The following is a 19,411-nucleotide window of genomic DNA, read 5'->3' on the forward strand; positions in this document are numbered from 1 at the left end:
AATGACAATAGTACTAATTTTCATTCACACAGCAACTTATAGATTATGGGATGAAACTAAGTAGGCAGCTCCCATTCACATTACAGAAAGCAAATGAAAAATTGGCCTAGTGTTTCTTGGCCCCACTTTGGTTCATAAACTTCTACACTGCCATCAAGATCTGCCATGGTTTGAATGTGTTCCCCAACATTCAAGGGTTAGAAATTTAATCTCCAATGCAACAATGTTGAGAGGTGGGACCTTTAAGAGGTAACTAGGTCAAGAGGGTTCTGCTCTCATGAATGGATTAATGTCACTGTCTTGGAAGTGGGTTCGTTATAAAAACAAGCTCGGCCCTTTCTTGTTCTCTCTCACTCTCTCTCACCATGTGATGCTTTGCATCAGGGCAGCAAGAAGGCCCTCACCAGATGCAGCCCCTTGATCTTGGACTTCCCAGCCTCCAGAATCATGAGCCAAATAACCTTATATTGTTTATAAATTATGCAGTCTGTGGTATTTTGTTATAGCAGCCCAAAACTAAGACAAGATCCTTCACATATGCCACCTCCTCCATAAAGCCTCATTTTATATCTGTGAAGAAACTTGGCTATTCAACCTCTATTGTCCCATAGAACTTTGTTCTCATCCCTACAGCAACACTTACTGCACTATGGTGGGATCTATCTATTCATTTATCAGCCTCCACTATAGACTGCAGGCTCCCCCAAGGACAAGCACCACGTAATATACACGTCATTCAATCACCAGTGTCCACCACTGCCTCTGGCACATGGCAGCCACTTAATAAGCAAAGGACTCTTGTTCCCAAAAGATAAATTCATTTATCTAAAGTATACGCCAGAGCCAGGTGCGGTGGCTCATGCCTGTAATCTCAGCACTTTGGGAGACTAAGGCAGGCAGTCAGCAGTTTGAGACCAACCTGGCCAATATGGTGAAACCCCATCTCAACTAAAAATGCAAAAATTAGCCAGGCATGGTTACGCATGCCTGTAATCCCAGCTACTCAGGAGACTGAGGCACAAGAATCACTTGAACCTGGGAGGTAGAGGTTGCAGTGAGCTGAGATGGAGATCACACCACTGCACTCCACCCTGGGTGACAGAGCGAGACTCGGTCTCAAATAAAAATAAATAAATTAATTAATTAATTTAAAAAAATATAGGCCAGGAGCAGTGGCTCACACCTGTAATTCCAGCACTTTGGGAGGCCAATGCAGGCAGATCGTCTGAGGTTAGGAGTTTGAGACCAGCCTAGCCAACATGGTGAAACCCCATCTTTACTAAAAATACAAAAATTTGCTGGGTGTGGTGGTGCATGCCTGTGATCCCAGCTACTCAGGAGGCTGACACAGGAGAATCGCTTGCACCCAGGAGGTGGAGGTTGCACTGAGCTGAGATCACTCCACTGTACTCCAGCCTGGGTGACACAGTGAGATTCCATCTCAACAATAAAAATAAAAATAAAAAACGATACAATATAAAACCTTCGCCACTGTAGCAAACTCTGAAATATTTACATTTTTCTTATCTCAAAAGTAATGTCTTTGTAAAAGAAAAAATTTGGTAAAATATCACATTATGGAGAAAATAGTTCTCCACTGTTCAAACTATAGGTTTCCGGTCTATTTTTAATGTAAATATATCAAAGTTAAGCTCATATTATACATAGTTATTGATCTAATTTATTTTATATCCAATATCTTAAACATACTCCCATGTCACTAAAATATTATGGCTGGGCACACTGGTGCACGCTTGTAATCCTAAGGATTGCTTGAGCCCAGTTCAAAACCAGCCTGTGCAACATGGTGAAACCCATCTCTACTAAAAGTACAAAAATTAGCTGGACGTGGTGGCAGGCACCTGTAATCCCAGCTACTCAGTGGGGCTGAGGTAGGAGGATCAATTGACCCTGGGAGGTTGAGGCTGGAGTGAATCATGATTGTGTCACTGCACTCTATCCTTGGTGACAGAGAGAGACCCTGTCTCAAAAAAAAAAAAAAGCAACTACATAATAGGGTGGTATGGTTTGGATTTGTGTTCCCACCCAAATCTCATGTTGAATTATAATCCCCAATGTTGGAGAAAGGGCCTGTGGGAGGTGACTGGATCACGAGGGTGGACATCCCCCTTGTTGTTCTCATGACAGTGAGTGAGTTCTCACAAGATCTGGTTGTTTGAAAGTGTATAGCACCTCCACCCTCTCTCTCTCTTCCACCTGCTCTGGCCACGTAAGAGTTGCCTGCTTCACCTTCTGCCATGAAAGTAAGTTTCCCGAGATCCCCCAGCCATGCTTCCAGTATAGCCTGGAGCACCATAAGCCAATTAAACCTCTTCTCTTTATAAATTACCAAATTTCAGATATTTCTTTATAGCAGTGTGAGAACAGACTAATACGTATGGATATTCCATAACTTACTTAACCATTTCTTTCTTTTTGGACAGTTAGATCACCTCTGGTAGTTGAACATTCAAAAAATTATCTCAGCTTGCTTTCTTAATAAGAGGTTAACCCTTCCAAGATGATGCTGCAGGAATTCATGAATGGAGCAGCTACCCTCATCAACTACTTTTTACTAACCCCTTAAGCACAAGACAACAAAAGGTCCCAAGACGTGACCATGTTACTAGGCCACACATACATATGTAATTGCGTATTTGTGATCTTTTTTTTTTTTTTTTTTTTTTTTTTTTTTGAGACAGAGTCTCACTGTGTTGCCCAGACTGGAGTGCAGTGGCATGATCTGGGCCCACCACAACCTCCACCTCCCAGGTTCAAGTGATTCTCCTGTCTCAGCCTCCCAAGTAGCTGGGATTACAGGCGCCTGCCACCATGCCCAGCTAATTTTTGTATTTTTAGTAGAGACAGGGTTTTGCCATGTTGGACAGGCTGGTCTCGAACTCCTGACCTCAAGTGACCCACCCACCTCAGTCTCCCAAAGTGATGGGATTACAAGTGTGAGCCACTGCACCCAGCATATTTGTGATCTTTTCCATGAGCTGACAGTCTGTGCTGTGTTTGTCAAATAGGGCACTGGAGAGAATGAAAAGATCTGTGCACAAACGTACCATCAGCTCACCTGTCATGATGTAACCCTTTTCCCTCTTTTTCTTGCATGTGTCCTGCTCTCTCCCCCAAGTCCTCTTTTGTATCCCACTTCTTACTACCAACTACCTGTTAAGAAACCCTCCAAAGGTCAAAAGTCTCTGTCTCAGTGCTATTGGCATTTTGGGCTGAATAATTCATTGTCACAGGGAAAGAGAGAAGTTCTGTGCATTGTAGGATGTTTGGCAGCATCCCTGGCCTCCATCCACTGGGATGCCAGTAGCAACCCACAACAACCCCACTATGACAACCAAAACCAACTCTAGACATTGCCAACTGTCTATCTCCTAGAAGGCAGTTTCATCCCCAGTTGAGAAATAATAATCTAAATTGATCATTTACTTATTTGATAATAAACGCAAGAAAGAGATCCACTAGAGCTGTGAGAATTCAGTTTCAATTACATTAACATGCTGACTATAATCACTAGGTAGCGATTACCTGATGTCATGCAGGGGAAAGTGCTATCGTTGATTGGGGATGTCTGCCACAGGTTGGGGAAGGGCAGCCTGCCATCCCCACCACCTCACCAGAGGCAGCTGAACAGGAACAGGGGGTAGCCACAGTGATTAAAACTAGACTTGGCCCCAAGAGACCCAGACCCAATACCATCTTTCCTTGAACCCACAGAAGAATAACAGAAACCTTAAAAGCATTGTATTCTTTGTTTTTGTTCGTCTGTTTGTTTGAGATGGCATCTTACTCTGTCGCCCAGGCTGGAGTGCAGTGGCACGATCTCGGCTCACTGCAACCTCTGTTTCCTGGGTTCAAGCGACTCTTGTGCCTCAGCCTCCCGGGTAGCTGGGATTACAGGCATGCACCACCATGTCCAGCTAATTTTTGTATTTTTACTAGAGACAGTGTTTCACCATGTTGGCCAGGCTGGTCTTGAACTCCTGACCTCAAGTAATTCACCCGCGTTGGCCTCCCAAAGTGCTGGCATTACAGGCATGGGCCACCACACCCATACAGTATTGTATTCTTTAACATGCATTTGATTATAACATCCTACGAAATGATCCCCAGAAGAAACTACAGTTGACCAGTCATTAATATGTATAAGCTTCCTATTCTATCCAAGCACGCTGTACGCCATCAAAGGCTGGTAAGAAATAGAACTTACTTTACCCGCATCCTCAAAAAGTTGGCAGCACTGAGTGCTAACCCAGAAACCATAATTATCGTGAAAAGAAATAGAACCACTTTCTGCTGAACCATGTAATCTATGTTTAAAAAAGAGGGAGGGGTCTCTCGAAGAACCACTGGTTGTCTAAGAATATAACAGCTAGTGTAGAACAAACCAGACTGAGATGGAACAAAACCATGGATGGCTGATGCTTCCGATTGTCAATAGGGTCTTGATCACCGGCAATGTAACCTTGCAGTTACCTAACCTCTCTGTGTCTCAGTTTCCCTCGTTTGGTAAAACAGGGAAAAAATAGTACTCATACCTCCTAGTGTTGTTAAGATGAAGAAATAAGAGAATAACAAAAGCCATATGCAGTAAGTATTCTACAAACGTTAGCTAATATTGTGTGATGTCAGAACTATATTCAATCGAGAAAGCATCCAACAGCTTGTGTCATATTTGCCAGCAGCGTAGCAACTGAAGGTGTTAAGAAATGAGAAACTCAGAAAAAGTCTCACTCAAAGGCTGTATTCACAATCTAGCTTTCCCTTATAATTTCAGTGTGCTCAAACTACATCTCATGCAGGTCCAAATATTTCTTCTTACCTAGTCCTTAGTGGAATTAAGAAAATCTGATCACCACACTGCTGACTCCCCCAGTCCCCAAATATCTGATTATAGCCTAATTCCTGACACAAAATAAACCTAAATTCTTGGCCTTTAAAAAAAAGTCACAACACAAATGACCAAGTTAATACAGATGCTATCAGGGTTGTCCTGGTCCCAGATCAGTGATTCTTAGCAGAATAGGTTAAGAAAACCTTTAGATTTCCAATGGATTGAAAGACAAATGGCTGGGCATGGTGGCTCATGCCTGTAATCCCAGCACTTTGGGAGGCCGAGGCAGGCGGATCATGAGGTCAGAGCATCGAGACCATCCTGGCCAACATGGTGAAACCCCGTCTCTACTAAAAATACAAAAATTAGCTGGGTGTGGTGGCGTGTGCCTGTAATCCCAGCTACTGGGGAGGCTGAGGTGGGAGAATCACTTGAACCAGGGAGGCAGAGGTTGCAGTGAGCAGAGATCATGCCATTGCACTCCAGCCTGGCAACAGAGTGAGACTGTTTCAAAAAAAAAGAAAAAAAGACAAATGAAGTGGTAAACTGTCCACTTTAATTAGTTGCAAAGGAAAACATGCATTTACATTTTCTGTGTTCCCCATTCTAGTTCCCAGCACCCCATCGTGGAAGGAAACACATAAGGTAATATCTCAGTGGGTTCCCAGAGCAGAAGAGTCACAGCAAGATGATTATGGTGCCTATTTAATCAGCTGGTCTTAACAGGTCACCATGCTTTTATGAACTCAGGATATGGGAAGAATCCTTTGTGATTTTGCTGGTTCAATTTCTCTCTTCATCTTAGAGGGAAATGCTTGCCTTTTTCCATGTGAAAGCTCACAGCACAACAGAATCATGGCCCATTAGGGTTGGAAGGAACTTAGCAAATATTATAAACAGCATTTACCAAGGTGTGGCCCAAGCATCCCCCTGCATAAGAATCACATGTGACACTTGTTTAAAATGCAGATTCATGTGTTGGTATTCAACAAACTCATTCCTTCTTAAATGTGGCTGCATGGCTTGACTCTAGCCAATAAGGAATGTGAGTGGGAAAGATGTGTCTGCCCCTCTCACAAACCTGCAAGCACTTTCCCCTTCTAGGACTTGAGTCCCAGGAATATGGCAATGTTGGAAGGCACAAGTTGGCGATAGCAGAGCCACAATATGGAAGGAGCCTGGGTCCTGGAATCACCATTTGGTAAAGAACTTTTATGTGGACAAGAAATAACCTTTTGTTGGGTTAAGCCACTGTAATTTCAGACTTTGTTCCAGGATTGAGCCTTCCCTACCTAACATACAGGCTTCCTATCTTAGACATAGCAAGTAAGATCTGGAGGTCACTGAAGAAAAAAATTGACACTTGTTAAAAGAGTAATGAAGACTTAATTCAAAACTATTGCTGAGCATGGTGGCTCATGCCTGTAATCCCAGCACTTTGGGAGGCCAAGGTGGGTGGATCACTTGAGCCCAGGAGTTCGAGACTAGCCTGGGCAGCATGGTGAAACCCCATGTTTACAAAAAAAAAAAAATACAAAAATTAGCCAGGCAGGGTGGCACATGCCTGGAGTCTCAGCTACTCAGGAGGCTGAGGTGGGAGGATCATTTGAGCTCAAGAGGTGGGAATTATAGTGAGCTGAGACAGTGCCATTGCACTCCAGCCTGAGCAATGAAATGAGACCCTATCTCAGAACAAATAAATAAATATATATATATATATAGAACAATAAGGGTATTGTAACAGGGAAAAGAGATCAAGCTCAACTCCAAACACAGCAAGGACAAGTGAGAACTTACAGCCAAGGAGTGAAGCTGAGAGGGTCAGTCAATGGACAATTACTAAGACGTAACGTCAGGAGTAGGGAGTTTTTTTTTTTTTTTTTTGAAACAGAGTCTCCCTCTGTTGCCTAGGCTGGAGTGCAGTGGCACGATCTTGGCTCGCTGCAACCTCCACCTCCTGGGCTCAAGTGATTCTCCCACCTCAGCCTCCTGAGTAGCTGAGGCTACAGGTGCACGCCACCATGCCTGGGTAATTTTTGGATTGTTAGTGGAGACAGGGTTTCACCATGTTGGCCAGGCTGGTATGGAACGTCTGACTTCAAGTTATCTGCCTGCCTCCGCCTCCCAAGGCACTGGGATTACAGGCATGAGCTACCACGCCCAGCCGGGAGATTCTTGCAATCTTGCAAAACTGGCCTAACAGAATTCTTGCTAAAGACAGGCCAAGGACTTACACATCAAAGGTGGAAAATGAGGAACTTGATCAGATTATCAAGGGTGGTCAGATATCAAGAATGAAAGGATAACCTAGCAGGATTCTTTGCGAAGACTGGAATGGATAAGCCAAAGAGAGGATGGGGCCAGGGTCACAGCCTAGTCAAAAAGAGGGCTCAGAGGAGCCTGACTACAGTTTCATCAAGGAGGGAATTATTGTCAAGGTAGGGCTCTGGAATTCTGTATTTAACAAGCTCATTAAGATTTAGAAAGAAAAATAAGCTGAGGAAGGAGAAAGACCATGCACCAGGTCACATATGCAAATATGAGACGGCCAGGACCTGAAGAAGTCCCCAGGGACTGGTCAGGTTGGATCCAGTGTTTCAATGAACTAGTGTATTAAATAGCAAATTGCAATGCGGCTCCTATGTACATGTTACCCAGGATTGAAAGCAACTTTGAACTGCCTTGGAGCAATTTCCACAGAAAGCGTATCTGCCTGAGAAGTAGAAACCTTGGACTGTGGAGTTTCATTTTACAACTTTAACTCTGAAAAAACAAAGGGAAAAGAGGATGGAAAGGAATGGGTTACAAAAGTGCCCAACATGGGACAAGGCCAGGGCTGTTGGACTCCCCAGCTGCTTTTGGTCATTGGGAATAATTAAACCCCCTAGTAACAGACAAGAAATAATGAACAGACATATCAGGGCCAGCTCCCCAGATATTATAAAAGCATGGGAAGTAGGGGAGGCAACATCTTCCCACAAGACAATTACAGTAGAGATGCGTCCATAACCCAGAGTCTATGGACCACGCTGCTGTATGTCAGTGGTTTAATTCTTTTCCTTTTAAGGAAAGATCTGATATTTTAATGGTTTTTTAAACGTTATCATGCAGAGCTAAGTGTTAATATTCTTTCAATGCATTCTCCTGCTTTTTAGCCTCTCTTGCCTTCCTTGCAAATCTGCCTGTTGAAGCCCTCCTTGACCATCAAGGACCAGTTTAAATGCCCTCATGTAAGAAGTCTCACCTGACCCACAACCACCACCACCCACCACTGGAAGAAAATCCCCTGATATCAGACTCCTGTGGTCCATCAGTGGTGAATCTCTTTTAGCTTCTGAAATATAATTTCTGATGTTTATTAGAGGCAAAAAGAATCATATTTTATAGCCATGGTTTCTACAATGAGCCCTGAACTATTGTGGTTTTCCAAGTTTTCATTCTCAAATAAGCTCAGAGCATCCCTATCCCTCCTGCAAATCCCTAAAAACTGGAATTTGAAATTCATTGTATGCAACATAAATCTGACTGGTTACATAATATAAAACATCAGACAGAGCTGGCTTCCATTCAAGTCATTTAGAACATGTTTCATAAAAGCTGAACCTCATGGGAGGCAGCCTCTCAAAGCCAAAGCAAAGCTGCAGTTCATCCTTAGACCCTCCTTGGTCTCAAATTAAAATATCCAGGAGGATAGAAATTGATGAGATTTCATTAAGTAAAAAATTTCATGAAAATCAATCCTAACCTCTGTAGCTCCCAGCAGCGGGATCTGTGTTTATATGAACAGCATTAAAGATAAGCTGTCCCACGGAAATTACAGCAGCAGTTATCAAACAACTTTAATGCACTCTTAAGTAGAGGCACTAAAATTTAGAATTCGCACTGGCTTTTCTGTCGTTCACGGCGTGGCGCTGAGTCAGCCTGCAACCACACAAGAAAACAGCTGTTGAGAAATACAGCTTCCTGATTTAAAAATAAAATCAGTAAATTTCTACTAAAAGTTTCTGCTAAATTCCTTATTGCATTCTATTTCAAAGGAGGGGTGAAATATCTAGAATGCCACGATGGTTTTTAAGCATAAGGGGTTGGATCTGATGAATTTCATGTTTGTGCTCTGGGACTTTACTAGAAAAAAATGAGGGATAGATGACTAATTGCTACAATATTAATTTCATACTTACATTCCCCATAAGGCATGAAGCAAAATTTGTCAGCTTGAGGGAAATGAGACTGGACTAATTATCAGGACCTCAGCAAATAATGATCCAATATCCAAAGAACTGCAGTCTGCCATGAAATATTTGACAATTCTTTTAAAAAGTCAGCAAACTTTTCTAAGAAGAGAACGCAGGCCAGGCGCGGTGGCTCACGCCTGTAATGCCAGCACTTTGGGAGGCCAAGGTGGGCGGAACACCTGAGGTCGGGAGCTTGAGACCAGCCTGACCAACATGGTGAAACCCCATCTATACTAAAAATACAAAATTAGCAATGCATGGTCGCACATGCCTGTAATCCCAAGTACTTGGGAAGCTGAGGCAGGAGAACTGCTTGAACCTGGGAGGCGGAGGTTGCAGTGAGCTGAGATCACGCCATTGCACTTCAGCCTGGGCAACAAGAGCGAAATTACATCTAAAAAAAAAAGGAAAACAAAGAACAGAAGAGAAGAGAAAAGAAAGAACAGAATGCAAAGACAACTACTGCTTTTGATACAGGCAATTTTATGACCAGTAACAAGTAGATGTTTCTGTGGGAAATGTCTCCTAGCATATGAGATACAACATCAAATGTCGCAGGCTAATGTGAGAAACAGTCTATGATGATGAGTGAATCTTGACTTTGAGCAACACACGGAAACTCCAAGGCCTCAGGTTTTGTTTTTAAATCTATTAAATAAAGAATCTAGGCTCATTGTATTACTGTGCCCCTGCTGGCTTCAACCTTCTGTAATGCTAAGACCAGCCTCACTCTGTTTAATACGTGTGTCTTCCAGAATGTTCTTTAACCACAGTTCTTCTGTATGACATTTCCTCTGGTTTTGCTGAAAGAGGGGCAATGGCTACTCCAAAAGACTCCTTTATGTAAGTTCCAAACTTTGTGGAAAATAATCTGGTAAATCCAGGAGATGTTATATTCCCACTTGCCATTCTGGATGTCGTCTATTAATTCCAATTAATAGGGACACAGCTCATTGGTGACTACATGGAATTCTATCACCCCAAATGCTCACCTCTCACTGCCTACCCTGCAGAAATCTCAGGCACTCAAACTGCAGGCAGTATCCAAAGACCTGTTCTCTTCATCAGGAGACCCAGGAGATCCCCAATCCTTGTAAAATTCAAGAGTTTATTCAAGACTATCAACCATTGTTTCCTGGATCGGACTATACCCATTACATTTTAACAGCCCTCTCTGACTCAGGGACATGAGTACAGCCAGGGGGAGGAGGGGAGGAGAGACGCTAAAGGAGAGATTGGGGTTTTGTTGGTTGTATTTTAACGTTTGAGTTTTGGGAAGGTTGGTTTCATGGTTTTACTTTTGGTTTTTTGAGGACTATGTTTGTTTTTATTTTTATTTTTTATTTTTTTATTTTTGAGACAGAATTTTGCTATTGTTGCCCAGGCTGGAGTGCAGTGGCACGATCTCAGCTCACTGCAATCTCGGCCTCCCAGGTTCAAACTATTCTCCTGCCTCAGCCTCCCAAGTAGCTGGCATTACAGGCACCCGCCACCACACCTGGCTAATTTTTGTACTTGGGGTAGAGGCAGGGTTTCACCATGTTGGCCAGGCTGGTCTTGAACTCCTGACCTCAGGTGATCCACCTGCCTCAGCCTCCCAAAGTTCTGGGATTACAGGTGTGAGCCACCTCGCCCTGCCACTGTGTTTGTTTTTTAACTTACCCTACCATTGGCTGAAATTTCTGCAGCTGAAAAATAGAAGCAAGCTCTAGTTGCTTTCTACTTAAGATAGGTATGTAAGTCCTGGCTACATCATGCCTCATGACCCAAACAGCCATTCTAGGGGCACAGGCAGCAGGCAGCATGCATAATTCCATCTGTCTCATGCTAAGATTCACGGGTGATCACTTTCAAAGAGCATGCTGAACTTCTAGTGAAACTTTACACACTGAAAACTTACACACCACACTTTCATGGTGGACTGCAAGGTCAGTGTTTATGGACACTACTGAGAGAAGGCCAGGGAGAGTGATGAAGTATGAATATGAAAGATGCAGAGAAGGCAAAGAAAACAGAAAAGAAACACAAAGCTTATGTCCCTGACATAACGATGGGAGACAGTCACTCACCACAAACAGGAAATAGAACAAGAAAGACCTCTAGCCACAGTGGCAGGCACCATAGCAGCAGCCGGGCCACGCTCAGCCAACCCACCAGAGCGTTTTCGTGCAAAATGTTATCGATGTGCTGCACATCTTCAGTGAAAACAAATGCTAAGCACAGAAAAGTTGCAAATCTTGCAGTAAAAGCAAAACAGTAAAGTTCACATAGAAATACTTTATTCATCTTAAAGAAAAGATTTACTTTGAAGAAAGTAGGGTAGCTGGAGACATTCTTGGAAATTCTGGTTTGCAAAACCATTGGTTTTGTTTACTATCAGGGATTTTGTGTTAAGACAAATGATATCAGTATCATTCTTACCCCTATGAACCACAATTATTACGGCCATTGTGGGCCTTAAGGTAGGACAGGATAGGGTAGGATAATAAGAAAGATAGAAAAGTAGGCCAGACACAGTGGCTCACACCTGTAATCCCAGCACTCTGGGAGGCTGAGGAAGGGGGATCACTTGAGCCCAGGAGTTCCAGACCAGCCTGACCAACAAAGGGAAACCCCAACTCTACAAAATTTTTCTTTCTTTATTTTACTATAGCTGGTAGCAACTGGGAAAAAAATTTTTTTTTAATTAGCAGGGTGTAGTGGTGTGCACCTGTAGTCCCAGCTCTCAGGAGGCTGAGGTGGGAAGACTGCTTGAGCATAGGAGGTCAAGCCTGCAGTGAGCTGTGTTCATGCCACTGCACTCCAGCCTGGGCAACAGAGCAAGACTCTATCTCAAGAAGATTTAAAAAAGGAAGAAAAGCAAGGAGAAGGAAAAAAGGAAAGAAAAATGGAGAAAGCAGAGAAATAGGAAAGAAATTCTCTGAAGATCAATAAATTAGAATAAAGGAGGAAAAATATGAGAGTGATCTGAATGTGTTAAAAACTGAACTGTGAGTTCGGAGATAAGAGGAGCAAAAGCAAATGGAAGTGAAGAGACTGTGGCTCACGTGTTTCCCTGAAGCATCTGCAGGAATGTTGGTCAGATGCCTGCTGGCCTGAGAAATGAGGAGGTGGACAGTGACCAGGGATGAGTGCTTGTACTAGTCAGGGTTCTCATGATAAACAGAATCTATACATATGCACATATATGCACAACACACATGTATATATCTGCATGAAGAGATTTATTATAAGGAATTGGCTCGTGTGATTATGGAGGTTAACATATCTGAAGATCTGCAGTTGGCAAACTGGAGAACTAGGAGAGCAATGGTGGAGTTCCAGTCCAAGGCTGAAAGCAGGAGGGAAAAAATGATGTCCTAGCTCCAAAGAAAGTCAGGCAGGAGAAATTCCCCCTCACTCAGGGGTAGGGCCCGAGTTTTGTTCCATTCAGGCCTTCAACTGAAAGGAGAGGAGGAGAGACGAGGCCAATATCTTTCACTCAGTCTACTGATTTCAAGGTTCATCTCATCCAAAAACACCCTCATAGAAACAACCAGAATATCTGACCACGTATCTGGGCACCTTGTGGCCCAGTCAAGCTGACACACAAAATTAACCATCACAGCAGTCATTGTGTAATAGGCCCCAAGAAAAACACATGAGGAACACTGGTTACTCCTAAAACATCTACATTGACCAAGATTAGAGGACAGAATCTAAATTAGAAGTGCAACTTGGAGGCCAGGCGCGGTGGCTCATGCCTGTAATCCCAGTATTTTGAGAGGAGGAGGCGGGCGGATCACCTGAGGCCAGGAGTTCGAGACCAGTCTGGCCAACATGGCAAAACCCCATCTCTATTAAAATACAAAAGAATTAGCTAGGCGTGGTAATGCGTGCCTGTAGTCCCAGCTACTCAGGAGGCTGAGGGACGAGAATTGCTCGAGCCTAGGCAGTAGAGATTGCAGTGAGCCAAGATTGTGCCACTGCACTCCAGCCTGGGTGACAGAGAGAGACTCCATCTCAATTAAAAAAAAAAAAAAAAACAAGAAGTGCAAATTGGAGAAGCCCAAGGAAGGTGCTGAGCATGGAGGTGTCTTGCAAATATTCCTTTCCAGCTCCACCACAGACCTCAGGCTGCAACTTCCCTGTCACTCAAGACTCCACAATCAGAACTGTGGCAGCTCTCAGAACCTCTACAAGACAGGATGGCAAATCCTCAAATTATAGGCATGGGTTTCGGGTCAGAAAGTCCAGCTCTGCCAAGTGGAGATCCCTGGCATCTACTTCTGAAAGTCCCTGTGGCCTAGGTACTTGACCTCTCCCAACCTCAGTTTCCCCATTTGCAACAGCAAATATAACAGTGCCCACCTGCTAGGATTGGCTTGTTTTGGTTTTTTTTTCTGAGACAGGGTCACTCTGTCACCCAGGCTGGAGTGCCATGGTACCATCATGGCTCACTGCAGCCTCAACTTCCCAGGCCAGGTGATCCTCCCACCTCAGCCTCCCGAGTAGCTGGGACTACAGGCACACACCACCACATCCAGCTAATTTTTGTATTTTTTGTAAAGATGGGGTTTCACCATGTTGCCCAGGCTGGTCTTGAACTCCTGGGCTCAAGTGATCGTCACACTGTTGTTTCCCAAAGTGCTGGGATCACAGGTGTGAGCCACCGTGGCTGGTCAGGATTGTTATGAGATGAGAAAGAAGCAACAGATACTAAGGAATTAGCCCAATACCAGACACATACTAGGTGCTCAAAAAAACAGTCATAGTTCTTTTTGTTTTGTTTCTTATTTTATTTATTTATTTATTTGAGACAGAGTCTTGCTCTGTCTCCCAGGCTGGAGTACAGTGGCACAATCTCACTGCACTGCAACCTCCAATTCCCAGGTTCAAGCGATTCTCCTGCCTCGGCCTCCTGAGTAGCTGGGATTACAGTCATGCGCCACCACACCCAGCTAATTTTTTATTTTTAGTAAAGACGGGGTTTCACCATGTTGGTCAGGCTGGTCTCGAACTCCTGACCTCAGATGATCTGCCCGCCTCGGCCTCCCAAAGTGCTGGCATTACAGGTGGGAGCCACTGCGCCTGGTCTGTTTTTTAATTAAATGCTTGTTCCCTCCACAAAGTTTCTGCCCAGAAAAACACCAGCCACTTCCACAGAGAAATCTTCCTGGCAACTGTCACAACTCCCTTTTCTTTCTATCCAGGGTAGGCCTGGTTTGTAGTCAGGCAACTGACTATGTCAAGTACCAAGAGAGGTCCCTGCAGATTGACCAAGCCTAGGCAGAAAATGTTCACACTGAGGCATAACTGAATTAGGCAGAAAAGCAAATGCCTGGCAGGTTGGTTGAGAGGAAGGCCAGAGGGGCCTGGGGGACTTCCTTTGGGCAGCCAGGCCGATAATCAGGCAGCAACCACGTAACTGGCCTTGCCTCTTCCCTCCCCACAGAATATAAGGGATAATGGAAGGAGCTGCTCGTGAATCGTGCAGCTGCAGCAAACAGGCCTCCTGGGCCCCGAAAGCATTGCTACCCTTTTCCCCACTGCCTGTTATCGGACAAAGGCAGGATGCAATTTCCCTTCTTCCCAGAATATACAAGACAACTCTGTATCCTATCATAACTGGAATCCTGCAAATTACCTCTTTTCAGAGAGGCCCCATCCAACTTCCCTACAGAAACAACAGTGCCTCTCTCCTACTCCAAGGAGAAGCACGTCCGAGATGTTTTCTTGGAATGTTTCCTTGACTTTCTGCAAGAAGCAGGTCGTGCTTATTAACGGTGCCAGCTCCTCCTGTAGCTCTATTGTTAGGAAGTGTCACTCTTGCCCCTGGGCACCCTGCCTCCCACCCAGATCCGAGATTCTTCAAGGCAGAACAGGTGCTTTCTCTCTGCACATTGCTTTCCTGGGCCTGGGAAAATGCAGAGCACATACCCAAAGGACCTCAGTGAAGGGCAGCATTGACCCACAGAGGCACCAGGGGGACAGGGGGACTCTCTTCCCTCCTTGAGAGTTGTGTTAGTCTGTTTTCATGCTGCTGATAAAGACATACCCGAGACTGAGTAATTTATAAGAACAAAGTGTAATGGACTCACAGTTCCACATGGCTGGGGAGGCCTCACAATCGTGGCAGAAGGCGAAACGCGTGCCTTACATTGGTGTCAGGCAAGAGAGAGAATGAGAGCCAAGCGGAAAGGGTTTCCCCTTTTAAAACCATCAGATCTCATGAGACTTATTCACTACCATGAGAACAGTATGGAGGAAGCCACCTCCATGATTCAATTACCTCCCACTGGGTCCCTTCCACAACATGTGGGAATTACGGGAGCTACACTTCAAGATGAGATTTGGGTGGGGACACAGCCAAACCATATCAAGAGTCTATCAAAACAGTCCTTGTGGGCTTCAGACATCATTAAGCAGCTCCTAATCCATCTAGTGGTCAATTAAGCTAAGAAGCTAAACTGAGATTCTCAGAGGAAAAAAAAAAAAAAGGTTCGCTCTGGATGGATATGGCTGAGGTCCCACATGCTAGGATAGGCCCCGGCATCTGCGTCATCCCGTGGAGCAATATGCGGCTCCGAGGCCAGCATAAATCAGGCCCAGAGCCACAGGTGCGGCCAGCCCACCTGGCCACAGGCATGCCACAGCACCATCCATCACACTGTGGCTGCCCAGCCATCAGCAGAGTCGGCCACGGGGACAGGAGGGCTTGGTGACTGGCTGCCAAACAGCAGCATGTTTGATTAATATTATCATATTTTTCTCATGAATTTTTAAATTCAGATAATTCACCCCGCATTACTTTTATAGATGTATATATACACACTGCATACAGGGAAGTTAGCCAAGTCTACACATGACTGAGTAATCCAATTTCAATGACCTTGATGATTCTAACATAAAGAAAGTCACTGGGCCTAAGTGGACCAGAGTCTGTAGTTCAGAGAAAGAGCAAATGCGGTGGCTTGGGAGGGGTAATGGGAAATGTGGCCAAGGACATCCCAGGAAGGACAGACAAGCTCCAAACCAACACAGCAGAAATGTGGAAGTGAAGCAATTTGTTCATAGAGAAAAGGATGGACAATTAAGCCAACACCAGGCACCAGGCTGAGTGAAAGCATGTGTGTGCGTGTGTGTGTGTGTGTGTGTGTGTGTGTGTGTGTGTGTGTGTGAGACACAGAGAGAGAGAGAGAGAGAGAGATAAAGAGAGAGTGAGAGATACAAAAACTAGTGTTTAGGAAGATGGTTTACAAAGGACATGTCCAGGAAAGTTTGAGAGTACTTCGTAAGTGCAAGGATACTGAAAATGACAAAGAAAAAGAAGGGTCAGTGCTAACACCCAGACTAAAAATCTGGTGGCTGGAACACTGGAGGTGATGCTAATAGAGATGAAGAAGTTGGAAGAGGGAAAACAGTAAGTTTGGGTTTCAGGTTAAACTTCCAAGATTGGCAGACCACCTTACAGAGGGCACATCCTAAGGTGATCGATCCCAAATGATCCATGTTCTTGTATAACCCCTCCCCTTGAATGTGGGCAGGACATGACAAAATGATGAGGTGTCACTCCTCTGATTATATTTCATTATGTAAGATTTCATCTAAGCAGGCTGGGCCTTGAAAAAGCAAACTGCCGAGCTCAGGAGTTCAAGACCAGCCGAGCCAACATGATGAAATCCTGTCTCTACTAAAAATACAAAATGTTGGCCAGGCATGGTGGCACACACCTATAGTCCCAGCTACTCGGGAGGCTGAGGCATGAGAATCACTTGAGCCCGGGAGGCAGAGATTGCAGTGAGCCAAGATCGCACTCCGGCCTGGGCCACAGAGCAAGACCCTATTTCGAAACAACAACAACAAAAGAAAGGTTATAAGCGCCATGGCTATGACTAGTGTCAAATTGCTTGCCATTGTTTTAAGAAAGCCAGATACCTGGATTGGACTCTGGGGTGTTCTCCGAGGGACACCTTCGTCACACAAACTCTGTACTTCCTGGAATCGATATAGCACTAAGTTATGTGCACCAAATTATAAAAGACTTATCCATAATATTTTCTCACTGAAATTCTCAGGGCTTTTAATATCTCCAGAATATATTTTTCCATTTTCCATAAGACTCAAAAGTAATAAAAGCTCTAATAAATCTACTACAAAGTCACTGCAAAAAGTAGAAGATGAAGAGGACTCTGAGGAAGACAGCAATCATGATGAGATGAGTGAGCAGGAAGAGGAGCTTGAGGATGACCCTACGATAGTCAAAGACTATCAAGACCTGGAAAAAGCAGTGCAGTCTTTTTGGTATGACGATGTCCTGAAGACAGGCCTAGATATTGGGAGAAACAAAGTGGAAGATGCGTTCTACAAAGGTGAACTCAGGCTGAATGGGGAAAAGTTATGGAAGAAAAACAGAACGGTCAAAGTGGGAGATACACTGGATCTTCTCATTGGAGATCTTCTGGATCCAATGTATCTGGGAGATATATTGGATCTTCTGTTTGGAGAGGATAAAGAAGGAGGAACCGAGACAGTGATGAGGATTCTCCTGAAAAAAGTGTTTGAAGACTGAAAGTGAAAAACACAGTGGTGTTACGGCGGTGGAAAAACTTAAAGTTGCCTAGGAAGAGAATGTCTAAATAAACGGATTGCTTTTTGCAATACAGCTGCTTTCTAGTGGTAGAGGAAGCAGTCAAAGAAAAAAGAAAAAAAGAAAATTGCCATGTTGGAACTGCCTATGAAGGGGCTGTGTGGCAGGAACTGTGGGTGTCTATAGGTAGGGAGAACGGCCTCTAAGCACTGAGGTGGCCTCCAGCTGACAGCCATTAAGAAACCAGGGGGCAGGGCATGGTGGCTCACGTCTGTAATCCCAGCACTTTGGGAGGTCAAGGTGACCCGAGCTCGGGAGTTCGAGACCAGCCTGACCAACATGGCGAAACTCCATGTCTACAAAAATGCAAAAATTAGCCGGGTGTGGTGGCGCACGCCTGTAGTCCCAGCTACTCGGGAGGCTGAGGCAGGAGAATTGCTTGAACCCAGGAGGCAGAGGTTGCAGTGAGATTGCGCCACTGCACTCCAACCTGGGCAATAGAGCGAGACTCCATCTCCAGTAAATAAATAAATAAATAAATAAATAAATAAATAAATAAATAAATTTTAAAAAATAAAAAAAAAGAAAGTGCAGTAGAATGAATACATTTCCATGGGTTAAAAAGGAAATGGCCAAAAGAGGGGGGAAATAATTGTGCTACAAAGACCAACATGACCTGGCCTGCTTGACCTCGCTGAACCTTCTATACGCTCCTTCTTGCTCAGCCTGGTCCAGGCACACTGGCCACCTTTCTGTTGCTCCCACTCCAGCACGAGCTGTTATTACCTCTTCCCAGAATGCTCTTCCTCCATAGACACATTTCCTTCCATTGTTTGCCCAAAGCCTTTCCTATAAATGCCTACCCTGACCAATGTATTTTTAATTGCACTCCAGTTACCTCATGAGCTGCTGTACTTTTATCCAGACCATTTATCACCTTCTGCCATGCTCTAAGATTTACTATTTGTTATGTTGATTGTTTTTGTCTCCCCCTGCTAGAATGCAAGCTCCACAAAGACCGATTTTTGTCTGTATTTTTTTGCTGATAAATTCCAAGATTTCAGAACAATACATAGTACAAAACACATGCTCAGGAAAATATTTACTGAATGGTTCAAGGCAGTCATTAAGCAATGAGATTGGTCTACATGTATTACTGTTGTAAGATGTCCATGAGATCTCATAAGGTTAAAAATTTTAAGAGCATGTCAGAAAACAACATGTGTACTATGATCCTTTCTTATATATGTAAAAAACAAAAACTTTCCTTTCCAAGCAATCCATTCCTGAAGTCTTAACACGGGCCAGAGCAAGGTAGGCGTTCACACAGGAAGGGGAGGCCATGATGTCACTGAGTGGGGTGTCCAACCCAACCCAGCAGGGTGAGGAAGGGGCCATGTGGAACAGCAGCCCAGCACGCGTGTCCAAGCCAAGCATGACAAGGAGGGCATCCACGTGGGAGGAGGTAGAGCCAGGACATAGAGATTGGTTACAAACATGCCAGTTGACCAAATAAGTAAAGATATGAAGGATAATGGGCACCAGAGTTTTGCTTGTTGGAGAAGCCATTTAAATGTGGAAAAAGAGAAAACTAGAATGAACCTTGTGGAGCTGAATCAGAATTGAAGGCATCAGTGTGAATTCATGTGTGTGAAGATGTAACTCCCTAGTGAGCGTCTGGGGACAGCGACTCCCCAATAAGCAGGGAGCACACCTTAAGCCCAGATTTTGGTTTCTACGTCCTGGTGTCCACTA

General features: G+C 44.3%; 1 protein-coding gene and 1 pseudogene across 8 annotated transcripts in view, besides 1 other annotated feature; one reads left to right on the plus strand and one right to left on the minus strand.

The window, feature by feature from the left end:
• TIAM1 (TIAM Rac1 associated GEF 1) overlaps positions 1–19,411 on the minus strand; it is a 440,670-nt gene that overhangs the window by 317,097 nt on the left and 104,162 nt on the right. The window lies entirely within an intron of this gene.
• Positions 15,073–15,286: a silencer, noted in NCBI's record as "fragment chr21:32822900-32823113 (GRCh37/hg19 assembly coordinates)". NCBI's record gives its function as "represses an EF-1alpha promoter that drives an FKBP-Casp9 reporter gene in an ReSE screen in K562 erythroleukemia cells {active_cell/tissue: K562}" and the evidence as "EXISTENCE:reporter gene assay evidence [ECO:0000049][PMID:32094911]".
• On the plus strand, positions 16,938–17,802 carry MTRES1P2 (MTRES1 pseudogene 2; annotated as a pseudogene).

Source organism: Homo sapiens, chromosome 21, assembly GCF_000001405.40.
Source record: "Homo sapiens chromosome 21, GRCh38.p14 Primary Assembly".
Lineage (NCBI taxonomy): Eukaryota > Metazoa > Chordata > Mammalia > Primates > Hominidae > Homo > Homo sapiens.